General features: G+C 52.2%; 1 protein-coding gene across 2 annotated transcripts in view, besides 1 other annotated feature; it reads left to right on the forward strand.

Moving 5' to 3' along the window:
- Nucleotides 1161-1690: an enhancer, noted in NCBI's record as "H3K27ac-H3K4me1 hESC enhancer chr1:201252475-201253004 (GRCh37/hg19 assembly coordinates)". NCBI's record gives its function as "activates a minimal SCP1, AML or CMV promoter by ChIP-STARR-seq in primed H9 embryonic stem cells {active_cell/tissue: H9 hESC(primed)}" and the evidence as "EXISTENCE:reporter gene assay evidence [ECO:0000049][PMID:30033119]".
- The window catches only part of PKP1 (plakophilin 1), a 49484-nt gene continuing 37345 nt past the window's right edge, over nucleotides 1320-13458 (forward strand). For both annotated transcript variants that reach the window (NM_000299.4, NM_001005337.3), the window contains exons 1-2: nucleotides 1320-1718; nucleotides 11756-11859. In NM_000299.4, coding sequence (NP_000290.2) covers nucleotides 1517-1718; nucleotides 11756-11859 — 306 coding nt within the window. In that variant the 5' untranslated portion in view covers nucleotides 1320-1516. The remainder of the gene's footprint in view (nucleotides 1719-11755; nucleotides 11860-13458) is intronic.

A 13458-nucleotide genomic window follows, 5' to 3' on the forward strand; every position in this document is an offset into this window, starting at 1 on the left:
TTTCTGATTGTCCTTTCCTCTGTAGATTAGAAGAGCAAACTAAAAGTAAAATATGTGAGCTGTGAGCGGCAGCCTCAAATGACAGCAAGAGTGACGGCTGTGATAGTGTCACACACTGGTGGAGGCCCCAAAACTAAGAAACTGACCGGACAGCACGACTACACAGTTCAGTAATGGATGTCCAGAATGAGAAACCCAGGGCATCAAGAAGTACAGCAAATATGTTCAGTGTTGTTTGCTTTAGGAGGCAAACAGAATGCGATACCTTTTAGAAAGATTTCCATCAAAGTAAATACTTAAAAAAAAAAAAAAACACTCAGCTCCTGTTACACACCAAATTCACTGATGTGGGCTCCCTCCACGCCTGGAGAGGATGCTACATGAATAAAGCTTCACTGCACATGTGTCCCCAGGGGTGAGTGTATATAGGGGAATGCACACAGTGGTCCCAGAATAATAAGTCCAGAGTGAAATTTCAGGGTAAAGCAGCTTTTCAATTTTTCAGTGAGGATCTGGTTAGGATCCGAGTTAGATTTAATTTACCTTAAATTAACTAGCATTCACGTATTCACCTATTTAAAATATTTTTTATTAAGCGCCTAATATTATGTGTGCCAGGCATTGTTTTAGAGGTTATAGTGGAGTTTCAGAGAGGATCCGCTGTTCACGTGGTGTTTTACCGGGGTATACTCATGAACAACAAATAACCACCGGTTTTACCAAGGCATACCCACTGTGTGGTCTGATATCCCAAGTCTGCTCCTTGATGTGGCCTTACTGCCCCTACCCCACTTTCTTCAGAGGAAGCTCCTTTAGAGTAGACTGGGTTACCCCCATAAGATGGAGCACTCCTTTGGAGCAAGAGCTATGGTTCTGCCATCAGCCCGGGAGCCTCCACCGCCGGGGTTGGTCTCTGCTATGACCTCAGTACAGAGGGAGATGGACGCCTGGCTCTCCTGGGCAGCCTGGTCAAGAAAGACTCCTTTCTTTCCTAGAGAGAGGTCTCCCTCGGTTCCTGAGCTGAGCACATGCTTTCTCAGTGAGCCGGCAGAACAGGACAGAGGGGCGTCTCCCTGGGGCCTCAAGGCTTGCGACGTTTCTTGCTCATGGGGAGAGGGAAGGGAGAGAAAAAAAAGAGCGAGCAGGAAGGCGCCCAGCGTCCCACACAGGGGACTCGCAGCCCTGCCCCCAAGAGCGCTGGCTCCGCAGCAGCAGTGCCCTGCAGCTCCGCGTCTGAGCAGCAGCAGCGCGCGGCCCGGTGGAGTGGGTGGTGCAGGGCAGGGGTGGTATATCCTGTCTGACGGAGGGCGGGCCTCGCCAGTGCCAGAGAGGGACGAACCAGGGTGGAAGCGCCAGGAGCAGCTGCAGGGAGCCCTCACGCGGACCACGCACTCTATGGCCGTAGGGAGCCGCTGAGAGCGAGAAGAGCACGCTCCTGCCCGCCCGCTGCACCGCACCTCGCCTCGCCTCTCTGCTCTCCTAGGCCCCGGCCGCGCGCCACCCGCCTCCCGCCACCATGAACCACTCGCCGCTCAAGACCGCCTTGGCGTACGAATGCTTCCAGGACCAGGACAACTCCACGTTGGCTTTGCCGTCGGACCAAAAGATGAAAACAGGCACGTCTGGCAGGCAGCGCGTGCAGGAGCAGGTGATGATGACCGTCAAGCGGCAGAAGTCCAAGTCTTCCCAGTCGTCCACCCTGAGCCACTCCAATCGAGGTAAAGGCTCGGCCCCCGCGTGGTCCGTGCGCCCCTTTCCAGAGCACCCTGGCCCAGTGGCGGGGACCAAGAGACGCACGCATCCCCGGGGATGAGGGGAGGCGAGGGGCTGCCGGCCCCAGGCAGGGTCTACGCACCTAGTGCGAGCAGCCGAGCTCCCAGCCGGTTCTGAGCTGGTGTAAACGCGACCCGAGGCTGGCTCGACGGCCCCGCGAGCTCGATGGCGCGCTAGTGGGCAAGGATGGGTGATTCACCGGGACACAGCCAGGAGCATGTCCCAGCGTGCCAGGAGGTTGAGGATCCCCCGCGAGCGGTTCTCCTGTCCCTGAGCCCTGGGTCTGGACGGCTTTCTCTTTCGGATGCTGCTCTAGGGATCTGCCCTGCATCCTGTCTGGCCCCGGCTGTCCTGGGGCCCATGGTCCCCGCGCTCGCAAACGGTTGTGGGCCACCCTTCACCCTTCCTGGGCTTGATCTCCTGGCCTTCAGCTGGAGGCCGATGCCCAGCGTCCAGGCCAAGGGGAACCCCAGTCCCTGTGGGGCCGCGCATGAGTATCCGCGAGCGGGGTGAGGGAGTCGCTGAGACAGGAGTGCAGCTCAGGAGAGGCGCTGCGGGACGGGAAAGTGGCACAGGGAGCAGGGACGAGGGCCTGGAACTCCAGGGCACTTTATCGAGAGCCTCCTGAAAGAGGCTAGCCTAGTTGGAAGGCCGCCCCAGGGCCAGTGGGTCCCTTGACGACAGGGAAGGGGGTCAGGGATGCTTTCTTTCCCGAATAGCCAATGCAGAAATCCTCTTTCCCACTGGATTCTTCTTACCCCACCCAGCTTAGGTAGAAACAAGTGTCTCATGGGGAGAGTACGGAATGGCAGGTTGGAAATCCCCCCGGGCCCCAGGGAGACCTCCAGCTGAACCCTCACGGGCACTTTTCCAAGCTGGATCCCGGGCCTGGCACCCCCTCCTCCAGCCTCTGAGAGGCCAGATCCCATGACTGGGGGAACCTGGGAGAAAGGGGCAGCACCCAGGAAACTCAAGGAGGAAGGGGCAGTACCTGACAGGGGAGAGCTTATAGACCAAGTAAACACTTTGATACAAAGGATGCCTGGTAAGAATTACACACAAGTGAGCAAAGATTCCACTTGTTTATTTATTTACTTATTTTATTTAGCTAAGTTTAGTAAAATGCTAATAAGACTTTACCCATTACCAAACAGTACAGGTCAACCAAGACTTATGTATTAAGACAGGCCTTAGGAGAGAGTGAGGGGCAGGGGGTAATAAGGTGGAAGGAGACAAAAGAAACCGACCCTGGCCCTTCCACCACACACACACACACACACACACACACACACACACACACACACACCTCACACTTCCTTCTACCTGTGGCTTCTGTCCCCCCACCTACTCCCTAGCCCCCATTCCTGAGTGGCCCCTTGTAGAGCCGAGGGAAGGAAAATGGCCGGCAGAGGACTTCCTGGGCCCCAGACCTAAAGGCCTTTGCTTCTCTGTGTGCTCTTTGCCTTTGTGTGGGCTCCAGGCTCCTCTCGTCACATTTCCACTCAAGATCATGCCACCTCCAGAGCACTTGCCTCCTTCCCTTTTATTTGGTGCCTTGGTAGGTGCCTCCTAGCCTCTTTAGAATTAGGTTTGGAATAACAAAGTGCCCCCATTTCTGGCTACAGCCCAGAGCACAGCTCAACCTACTCTCCTCTCTGCACAAGACTTGGCTGTCCCCTTCCCACTCCCACTCCATCCCAGCCTGAGCTCTTGGCTCACAACTCCAGAAAACTCAAACCGGCCCTGGGTGCCCCAAGGACCCCTTTTTCCTCCTACCTATCGGGATATTGGCTGAGTGTCTGTCAGCAAGAAGTGCACTTTCTGGGCTTGGTCTTTGTGGGGAACTTCTATCTGATAAGGTCTCCTTTGTTCCCTCTTTGTTTTTCCTCCCAAGGTCCCCCAGGGGGCTTCACTGGGGGAGGGTTGATGCTGATGGCTACCTCTCCAGAAACTCCAAGGTCTAGCCCTGTGGGCGTGTCCCCTCTACCCTCAGACTCTGCGGAGGTTCCTAAAGGAGGCTGCAGAGGCATCCTTGCTGGAAGAGGCGGTTTGGTCACTTGGAGCTGGTGTTTCTGGTTTATCTGGCTTAGTTTTCATCAGATTTCCTTGTCTTCTCCATCAGAAACACCCAAACGTCCCCTATTTGCTCTGCGGCCACCTCTACTCACTCTGCTCCCTCTTTCTTATGCTGGTTTACCTGTCAGGAGCCTGCTTTGGTTCCTGGAATGGAATGAGCTGGTAGCTGTGGAAGGACCATGCCCCAGGCGTTTTCCCTCGCCCCCTGGACAGATTCAGGTTCTTGTTTAGTCTCTTCCAAGAGCAGAGTCAGTTTACCTAGGGTCTTCTTGAGCCCCTTGAATCCCATCCAAAGTTTCCCTAGTTAAGAAGGGCCAACCATACCCCACAGGTTGCCTGGAAGAGTAGCCACTGCTCCTTGTACCCCAGGAAGGACAGTCAGGACCAGCCATCCTTGGTCCTGTGATAGAAGTGGCTTCTCAGTTCCTCTCCACTAGTGCTCTTTTCTCTCTTGTCACTGAGGGAGTATTGAGCCACTGAGGACTGGAGGAAGGGCCCCTGGAGCCTGTCACAAAATGCCTGTCTGCACTCATGCTCTCCCTGAAATGCCACAGATCAGACAAGCACCTTGCCCTGGTCATGAAGGCCCCGGGCAGGAAGAAGGTGGCTTCTGTGGCCTGGAGACCTTGCAGAAGGAGGTTGCTCTGAACCTGCCTACCCATCTTGAACTGCCCCTGAAGTATTGCTCCCCTGTGTTTTCAGGCTGTCCCTGTGTGCCTCAGGGTGTCTGGCCTCCTTTTCTTCCCAGACTGTGTGGAAGGCAAGGGGAAACTGAGGGGGATGTCACCACCCAGCAAAAGATCTTTGCCAGGGAAATGACCTCCCTGAGGATGGGGAAGGAAACACTTATCCACCTTCCAGATCTTTATAACTTCACTTGGAATCTCTTCCTAAAGCTGAACCTGAATCTCACTTGCCCTAACCCAAGCGCTCCCCCGCCACTGTGAATACAGATCACACCCAGCTCAGTGAAAGGAGCTTCCTTTCACCTGTCCTGTCTCCTTCCAGGGAAGTCCTAACAACACCAGCACCATTGCCTGCTTTGTCTCACTGCCTGCTTAGCCATCTGTGATTTTTTATTTCAGCCTTTGGCCTGAAATTCTCTTTCTCCCTTCTTCATAGAAGTACTGTTTCCCATCTAAAATTGCTAAGCCTCTATTTCTCTCTGATCAGAGGTAGGGGCTGGAGGCAACATTGAGCCAGGGGAGGTGCCTGCTCCCTTTCTGTAGTTCCTGTGTCTATTCAGCCCTCATCAGGGGAGAGGGGGGCATGCTTGTACGAACTCCGCAGCCTGCACAGTGAAGGAGCTCGCCTCAGGAGCCCCCACTTTGATGGCTTTTTGTATTTGTGTTTGACTATGTCTCAGCATGAGCTTCTGCCCGAGTGTTCTGCTCATTAGAGTTTCTAGAAAGTTGTCCTTTCCTGACCACAGGCATCACTTCTGGGGTTGTTTTCTTGGGACCGAAGCTGAGATTGCAGATGGTAATGGCTATGTGTGCTTTAGCTTGTTCCATTGGCGAAACATACCAATTAAACTTCAAATGAACCAATTCTTGTTTCTTTACAATGTACCTTGGCTTGAAGTTGGAGTTTTAGCCAGAATTTCCGTTGGCCTGTTACAACACATGCAAAAATGCTGGGTATTCTAGGGTGTTTTGCAGCAAATGCTGCTTCTCTGGATCCTGCTCCTTGACAGAGATTTTTTAAAAGTACAAATTCCTCCCCCGACCCCATACCATTGTAAGTATCATTGTGCCAATTGTTCTAGGTTTAGAAATCTGGGAAGCGCTTCTGCGATGGGCCGTGACCCTTACAAGATGTGTAATGTTTGAACAAAATAAAATGGACGAATGTTAGATATCTTCATGTGAAGTTCCTTCTAGGCATACGCTGGACACATGCGCACACATGTATACACACATAGGTCACACATGCATATATGCATGTATACACAATACACCCCACACATGAATCCACACACCCACACATGCACACACGTACACACACATAACATGCACACACTTATGTTATGTGTGTGTACATGTGTGTCCTTGCAGCTGTGCTGTGTCAGGAGCCCAGCCTGGCATCTACCTGGTGTGCGATCTTGGACAAGTCGCTGCCTCTCTTTGGGTCTCTGCAGCTGTCAGAGGTTGGATTAGATCATCTCCAAAGTGCTTTGCAATGGGAACACTCTTTGGAAATAGATTTTATAACTCTCTAGCTCTGCAAACCATTTGCCCAGACCGCCAGCAGCTGTTCTGCCAAAAAGCTCTTCCCCTTAAGGCATGCCACTCATCGTGTCTCTCTCGTAAACATCCTAACATATTAAAAAGTCTTCTCATCCACTCTTCTCAAACTTGGCTACATATTGGAATCACCTGGAAATTTCAAACAACACAAATGCGTGAGTCCCACCCCCAGAGATTCTGACTTAGTGAGTATGAAAGATGGCACGGGCATCAGGACTTCAGAAACTCCCAGGTGATTCTCATGTGTAGCCAAGTTGGAGAACCACTGTTCTAGTCCCTGTCCTTCACTCACACAGATCCAGCATGGGGGAGCACCCCTATACAATGACATACACCCATGTCTTTCTCTCATACACACACACACACGCACACTTAATGTAGTAGTTGCTGGCGAGAGCCTTTGACTCTGAACCCCACCTGAACCCGTCAACCCTTGCCCACTCTAACCCACCACCCTGCCCCCTCACGCCCATCCTGTCCCCACAGGATGCTCCCATGCTCTGCCCAGTCCTCAGGCTTGGTGGTGGCCATGAACAGATCTGCTGAAAGAGCAGCAGGATTGTGGCAGAGCTAGGTCTGAACGCGTCCCAGCAGAGCCTGAGGGAGTCACATGGGCTGGAGAGGGAGAAGAGAGAACACAGGCCACAGCAACCCAGTTTGTTTCAGCATTTCTGTTCAGTACGTACACCCAGGAAAAGGTCAAGAGCCACACCAAAGTGCCCGGTGAGGCTGTGCTGAACTCCTTGCCCTCCCCATCTCCTAGAAGCTGCCGAGTTGGGGAGGCATGTCCACGGTGCTCCCAGCAGCCCAGCAGAGGGGGCAGGAGGCTGGCCAGCCCAGTCCTCCCTCCAGGAGCTGGAACCATCCCGCAGACACAGTCCACTCCTGCCCACTCCGAAACACCTCTGAGGGTATTCTCTCAGCAGTAGCTTCCTGGCAGTTCTTGTTATCTCATTTAAATTCCTATTGCTGTGGGCCTAGCTTTTCTGGGCACCATGGGTGAAAGAGATTTCAGAGGGTGAAGTAAAGGCATTTTCAAGACTAAAAGAAAATGAGCTTCCTTTCTCAAGCTTTTCATGCTGAAGGACAGGTGGGCTTTATTCAAAAGTAGAATATGCTAGAAGAAGCATCGGCCTTAAGGGAGACAGAGTAAGCAAGAATGTGTTCCGAGCAGCTTGCCCTGTGACGAAGGAGAAGGATTTGAGGGGAGGGAAAGTGGAAAAAGCGGATTTCCCTATGACCTCTGTCTGCAGGAAGGCTGATGTCCTGAGAGCCTTCTCTATGTAGAACCTGGGCCTGGGATTGGGGGTGTGGAGTGTGGATCTACCAAAGGTGAAGATTCCTTGCTTCAGGGAGCTCCCAGCTTGGTTGGGGAGACCCAGGCCCTACCTTCTGGGAGGAGTGCACACACACACACACACACACACACACACACACACACAGTGTACAGAAGCCACATTCCAAGGAGCCCACAAGCCAGTGCAGAGTCAGCCGCTGGATTGAGTGCTGACATGGTTATGCTGGCAAGTTTGGAGTGCTCAGAGCTGGGTGCGGTCATCTTTAGGAGAAGCTGATTTTTGTGCAAGGTTTTGAATGCAGGGGGAGGGTTGGAGAAGAAGAGAAAGAATGTTTCAGGTGCAGTAAGTGTGACCTATTTGAAAGCTTGGAGGTGGAAGAGGATGAGTCATCCCTGCAAAGGCTCACCTGCCCCTACTGGAGAGAGATTTCCACTCATCCTAAAGAAGGAGCTGCCTCCAGTTTCAAAGGTTTTGAGGCGAGAAAGCTTGAGTTGCACCGATGACACAAGAAAGAATCAGCCTGTCGTTGTCTAAGGCACCAAAGGGAAGCAGTGTGCCAGGACACTGGTGACCTGAGCGGTAGATTTTCTGAGATGGTTTTACACCCTAAAACGCGGATGTAAAATCAGACGAGCTATGTGGACAGAGCAGGTTGTGTTGCTTGTATACCTGGGAAAGTGGCAGATGCTCTGAGGCACTTGCTCCTTGACCTTGGGGTTCTGTGGGTGGGCAGATGCTTCCTGAGGATGGCACACAGGTTGGGCACACTGTCAGTGTCACCGAGAAGCCACCACATCCCTGCTCATGCTGCATGCACCCATATGGGGAGAAGAGGGGCAAAGCAGATGCTTAGCTGGAGGGTAGGAGTGATTCTGTGGGGTGAGCTGGGAACTAGCCCCTCCCCCATTCCCCAGGAACTAAGAATCCTCCTCAAGGAGGTGGCCTTGGGTATTTGAGAGCTGCAGCAGCCCTCCTCTCTTCCTGGTTTACCCCACTCACCAGGGACCTCTTTGAGTGGGAGGAGAGCCTGACCCCATTCTAAGCCTCTAAGCACCAGGCATCAGAGCACGTTCACCACAAGGGTTGGGCAAGGGAGAAGAGGTCATTGACGCAAAGAGCCAGCTCAAGCCAGTCAGGCCCAGACCCAGCTGGGGCAATGCCCTGAACTCAAGGTCCCAGGGAAAGAAAGACATGGTTCGCACTTCAGAGAGTGTCCAAAGTACATGGTGGTGGAGACTTGTACGGGCGTGAGATGGAGATGGGAGTAGGCGTCATTCATCAGGAAAGGCTTCCTAGAAGTGCATTCTAGAGACATCGGGGACCAAGTGGAAGAGTGAGCTAGCACCATTACACTCATTAGAAGCCCATGCTCTTGCTATTGAACTTGACTTTTAGAGGGCATTACTTACCAGTCAGACACCCCAGGGTCAAGAGAGGGAAAATCACTTTTGTTGTGGGAGCAGTGCTCTTACAGACAGAGCACACCTGCCCCCAGTACTCCTTGGTTATCTGGCACACTGCGAGCTGTGATTTCAGGTGTGTGACAACTATGGACTTTTCCCCTCTCTCACCACCTCCGCCCCAAATACTGTCACCTTCTGCCAGATTAGCAGTGCAGGCAGGTGTGATGTTACCCTCATTCTCACCAGAGCCAAGCAGACCCCAACTACAGATAGGTCTTAGGAGATGCCTTCAGGAACTGCCTGGAAGGGCCTGCAGGCCACAAGTGAGTGACAGTCACACCTGCCTTTACCAGAGTTCATGCTGGACATGGGGACTGGCTTTGGGAACTGCAGGGCATTCTGGCCTCTCCCTCCATGTGTCTGTGTGTCCACTGCCACCTCCATGGCAGAGAGGCCTCTACCTTCATACAGAGAAGAGTGTATGAGAGGGAGGCAGGCAGGTGCAGGGTGTGGCGGGAGGAGATGGTTAGTCTGATGACCCATGGGGAGAGCAGCATCATGCTGACAGGTTCTCTCCCAGAAGACGGGCAAGAAGGCCCTGGTGCAAGCCCCCCGGGGCTGCTTCTCATAGCAGGAGGCCTCCCCGGTGCTCCATAAAGTTCTGTCTGTCACCACCCCAAATTTTCCACCCAGAAGCAGCTGACTGACCCACACCTGACCTTTGGTGAGAAATACCTGCTCACAGGGCCAGATCCAAATGAACTCTATCCTATCAAACCTTGGAAGAATGATCAAAGTGGGCTGGGTGGAAGGGAGGCAGACAAGACCTGGTGGTTGGCCACCTAGGGTCCTGACTATGAGTGTGCCTGGCTGCAGCCCCCTTCCTTGGGAGCACCAGTCCTGAGTGACTGAGCCCATGAGATTGCCTCCAGCCTCTTCCTGATAAGGACAGTCTTGCCAGAGGAGCGGTTGCTGGAGAAAGGTGGAGGAAGAGCTGTGTGCACTCTACAGGGAGCTTGGAGGAAGCCAGAGGTTCAATGGGCCACATGGCAGAGTCCCAGGATGTTGCTCATAGGCGGATGGCCCTTCTGGAGTCAGGGCTAGGCCTGGAGTATAGGGGAGGCCTCTCAGAGGACCCTGAGGCAGGTGGCAAACGAGGCGGTAGTGTGGCCTTTGATGTCTGCCCTTCTTCCTTGTAAGCTGAGCTGTGTCTCTGGAGAGGAGGAGTCGGCTCCTCTGAACGCAGTCAGGCACGTGTCACTATCATCACACCACCACAGGGCAGTGGAACTGTACGGGGCCTATGGGAGGTAAGAGGCCAACCCTCTCTTTTGACAGAAGAGGACACTGAGGCTCAGAGAGAGCAAGTGACTTGCCCAGGTGCCAGAACCAGGACAAATATCAACACCGCTAGGCCCCCAGGGCAAGCTGTGTCTGCCACAGCTTGAGACCCCTAATGTCCATGATGGAAGGGTGCAGAGAGTTGGGCAGCACTCTCTGCTGTGGGCTATGGGTGGTGACCTGGCGCTGGACAGGGGAGGTGGCACGAGGTGGGGATCCCTGCCTCATTCCAAAGCTGCCCCTTGGCTATTCCCTCTACTCCCAGCTCAGATATTCCAGCCCTGCTCCCCCAGGCAATGGCCGGGGAGCCTAAGTGGGTGTGGCAGATGGGGAGGAGCTACCTTGGCTGGGTGAGATCACTGCCCAACTCTCTTCCCCACAGACAGGGTTTCCGATGGGGGAGTCTGACCATCGCTTTAGAGAAAAGGAGTGCATATCCCTCTTAGGAGGCTCTCACTGGATCCCACTCACCTTCATCCCCCAAGGCCATCACTTAACAAGAGTGTGGGCCAGGCCACGGAGCCATGGCTTGCTCTTCGTGGAGCTCCCAGTATAGCTGAGGGAATGGGACGCAGGGCAGAATGAGACTTGGGCTACCAAGAGCAGGACAGTATGTGTTTAGAGGCAGGAGAGATTGCCTTGTGCAGAACTGATCAGAAAGGGCTTCCTGGAGTGGGTGAGGTCTTGAGCTTGGCTTCAAAAGATGAGCAAGATTAGAAGGTAGTGGCCAAGGAGGGAAGGCAGGTTTGGCATGGAGGGAGATGTGAGTAAAGTGGTGAGCCTGTCACCATTGGCCATATTTCAAGGACAGCAGGACAGTGAACAGACCAGCTTGTGCAGAGTTGATGCTATCCCTTAGGGTGTCCCTGCTGGCCAGTGAAAGGGAGATGAGGGGGGTGGCCCCACTAGGAGCCCCAAATCCAGTTCTGTTTTCTGTGATGCAAAGCCACTTTGCCACTAATAACCCTAATGACACTCTGTCCTCCTGCGGAGCCTGTCATTTGTGGGTCTCCAAGCACTCCGAAAACATTAATTAATCCTCACTGGGCCTTTGAGGTTGATCGCCGCTCCCCCTTCACCAGCCAGAGCATGTTAGAGGTGAAAGAATGGGAGGAAGTTTGGTCACTGGTAGGGGCTGGGCTGAGATTTGAATCCAGAGTCCTGTCCTGAATCAATCTCTAATCAGCTGTTGCTGCTGGACTGGGAATGTCGGAATCCTGCCTGTCTCCCCTGAGTGGGAATCTTATCCTTGTGGAACATGGAGTGATGATTCCCTGGGCTGGAATGGCCGTGCTCCAAGGCCCTCCAGACCAAGTCCTGACCTGTAGGTGTTAACCTACCCAAGCAGCAGTGGAGCCACTGGGCTCCCAGGAAGGGGACAGATGAGAGTTTTAGAGCTGTCCCTGCAGGAGTCTGTGGTAGCCCTTCCCTTGGTCCCGGCTGTGGAGGATGTGGAGATAGATGGAGATGACATTCCCCACCTTCTCCTCCAGGAGCTCAGACCTGGTCTCCTCCATGGGCATAGTGGACCTGGATGCAGAAGTGATGCCCTGAGGAACAGGGGTGGATGAAGATCATGGCCATCCCTGTCCTAATCCCCTCCTTTCTCCTCTAGGTTCCATGTATGATGGCTTGGCTGACAATTACAACTATGGGACCACCAGCAGGAGCAGCTACTACTCCAAGTTCCAGGCAGGGAATGGCTCATGGGGATATCCGGTAAGGAACTGCTTCCATCCTAAAAGACCTGGAGTACTTGTGGGGATGGTTTGAGGTTTATAGTGGAGAAAACCGGCACCAGTTGCTAAAAAGAGTGATGTAGGCTTTGGTCCGTGAGTTGAGGCTCATCAACTCTGACTAGGTCTGTTGACTTGGCCATTGTTTCATAGGTGGCTCTCGTTTGGGCTGACTGGATATTTTTGAATGTCTCAAATGATAATATTTTAGGAAAAGCATTTTTAAAAGGCATTTAAAAACAAGTCCATTTCCCAGTAGGTCTGATTTGATCATGGATTTGGGAAATGTTTGCATTCTTGAGGTCTATTAATGGACCAGTTTAGATGTTTCTAGGAAAATCCTAAAGGGTCATCTCTGTTCGTTCTGTGCCTATGGTCAAAGAGCCAAGAGAACATGTCCACTGCATTGACTCCTGCATATGACACTGCATGCTAGAGTGGAGCCTCCCTGACAACCCGACACATTTGGGTTCAAATTTTAACTCTGCTACTCACTGAGATGTGGCTTTGGGCAAGTTACTTCAAACTTTGGGACTCAGCTTCTTCACATGGAAAGTGGATATAACAAAGAACTTCTGGGGTCATTTTCAGGATTAAATGAACTAATGTACATGAAAAAAGATTACAATAATTCTTAAGATTATTTGTTAAATTAACATGGATAGAGGTTATTTTAGATCCTGTAATCCTGGCTCTGTCTGCTTTCTAAGTGATCTCAATCCACTATACTTCATCTATCCATTTACTGAACAAATATTTATTGAGCCCTAATTCTGTGACAAGCACTGCAGTAGATGCTCAGGATACAACCACACCAGCCAGTGCAGGAATTTTCTGCTGCTCTAAAGTCAGGAGTACCGGGCTAGATGACACCCAAGGTTTCTCCTAGCCTCCAAATTCTATGACTTTCATTTACTTTCGCTGATGCAACATTAGCCTGCATTATTCTTGGGAATTCTTTTGTAAGGCCCTCAAGACATTGTCAGATGGGGATTAAAGGCTGCTTCTCTGTGGGAATCTGGGGTTCTGTCTTGGTGGGGCCTTAGGATGAAGCAGCATTTGCTTTAAGACACAGATGTCTCACAGATATCACTCCTGATTGACTGTCAAAGGTCCTGGGTCCTGGGGAGAGGAGAGGGTGAGGAGTTTATAAGTTTGGTGTTCTTTTGTCATTTGCTTGATTCTTCCATTCCTGAGTTCTTTTGGGGGCTAATTTTGGAGGCTATGTCTTTCTTACATATTACAGCTTGGGGATGAAAGGAGACAATTAACTAGATTTGCTGTGAATTTACTTCCCTCGCTTTTTTCCTGATTCTTGATGGCAAATGACACTCTTAGTGCAAAATAAACCCAGCACACTGAGCCCGGTAAACTGACAGATCAAGCACAGATGTGAATAAAAGGGCTTTTACACAAAGGGTGATGACCAAATTGAGAAAATGGCTTAGGAATGCAGCATAAAGGGATTAGATGAAACCCAAGGAAGGCAGATCACTGCACCAGCAGCCGGAATGGATGATTATGCTGACAGTACAGATGGTACGTGTCTTTACTTAAATGACATTACCAGTTCAGAGCTTAG

The sequence above is a fragment of the Homo sapiens genome, chromosome 1 (assembly GCF_000001405.40).
Source record: "Homo sapiens chromosome 1, GRCh38.p14 Primary Assembly".
Classification (NCBI taxonomy): domain Eukaryota; kingdom Metazoa; phylum Chordata; class Mammalia; order Primates; family Hominidae; genus Homo; species Homo sapiens.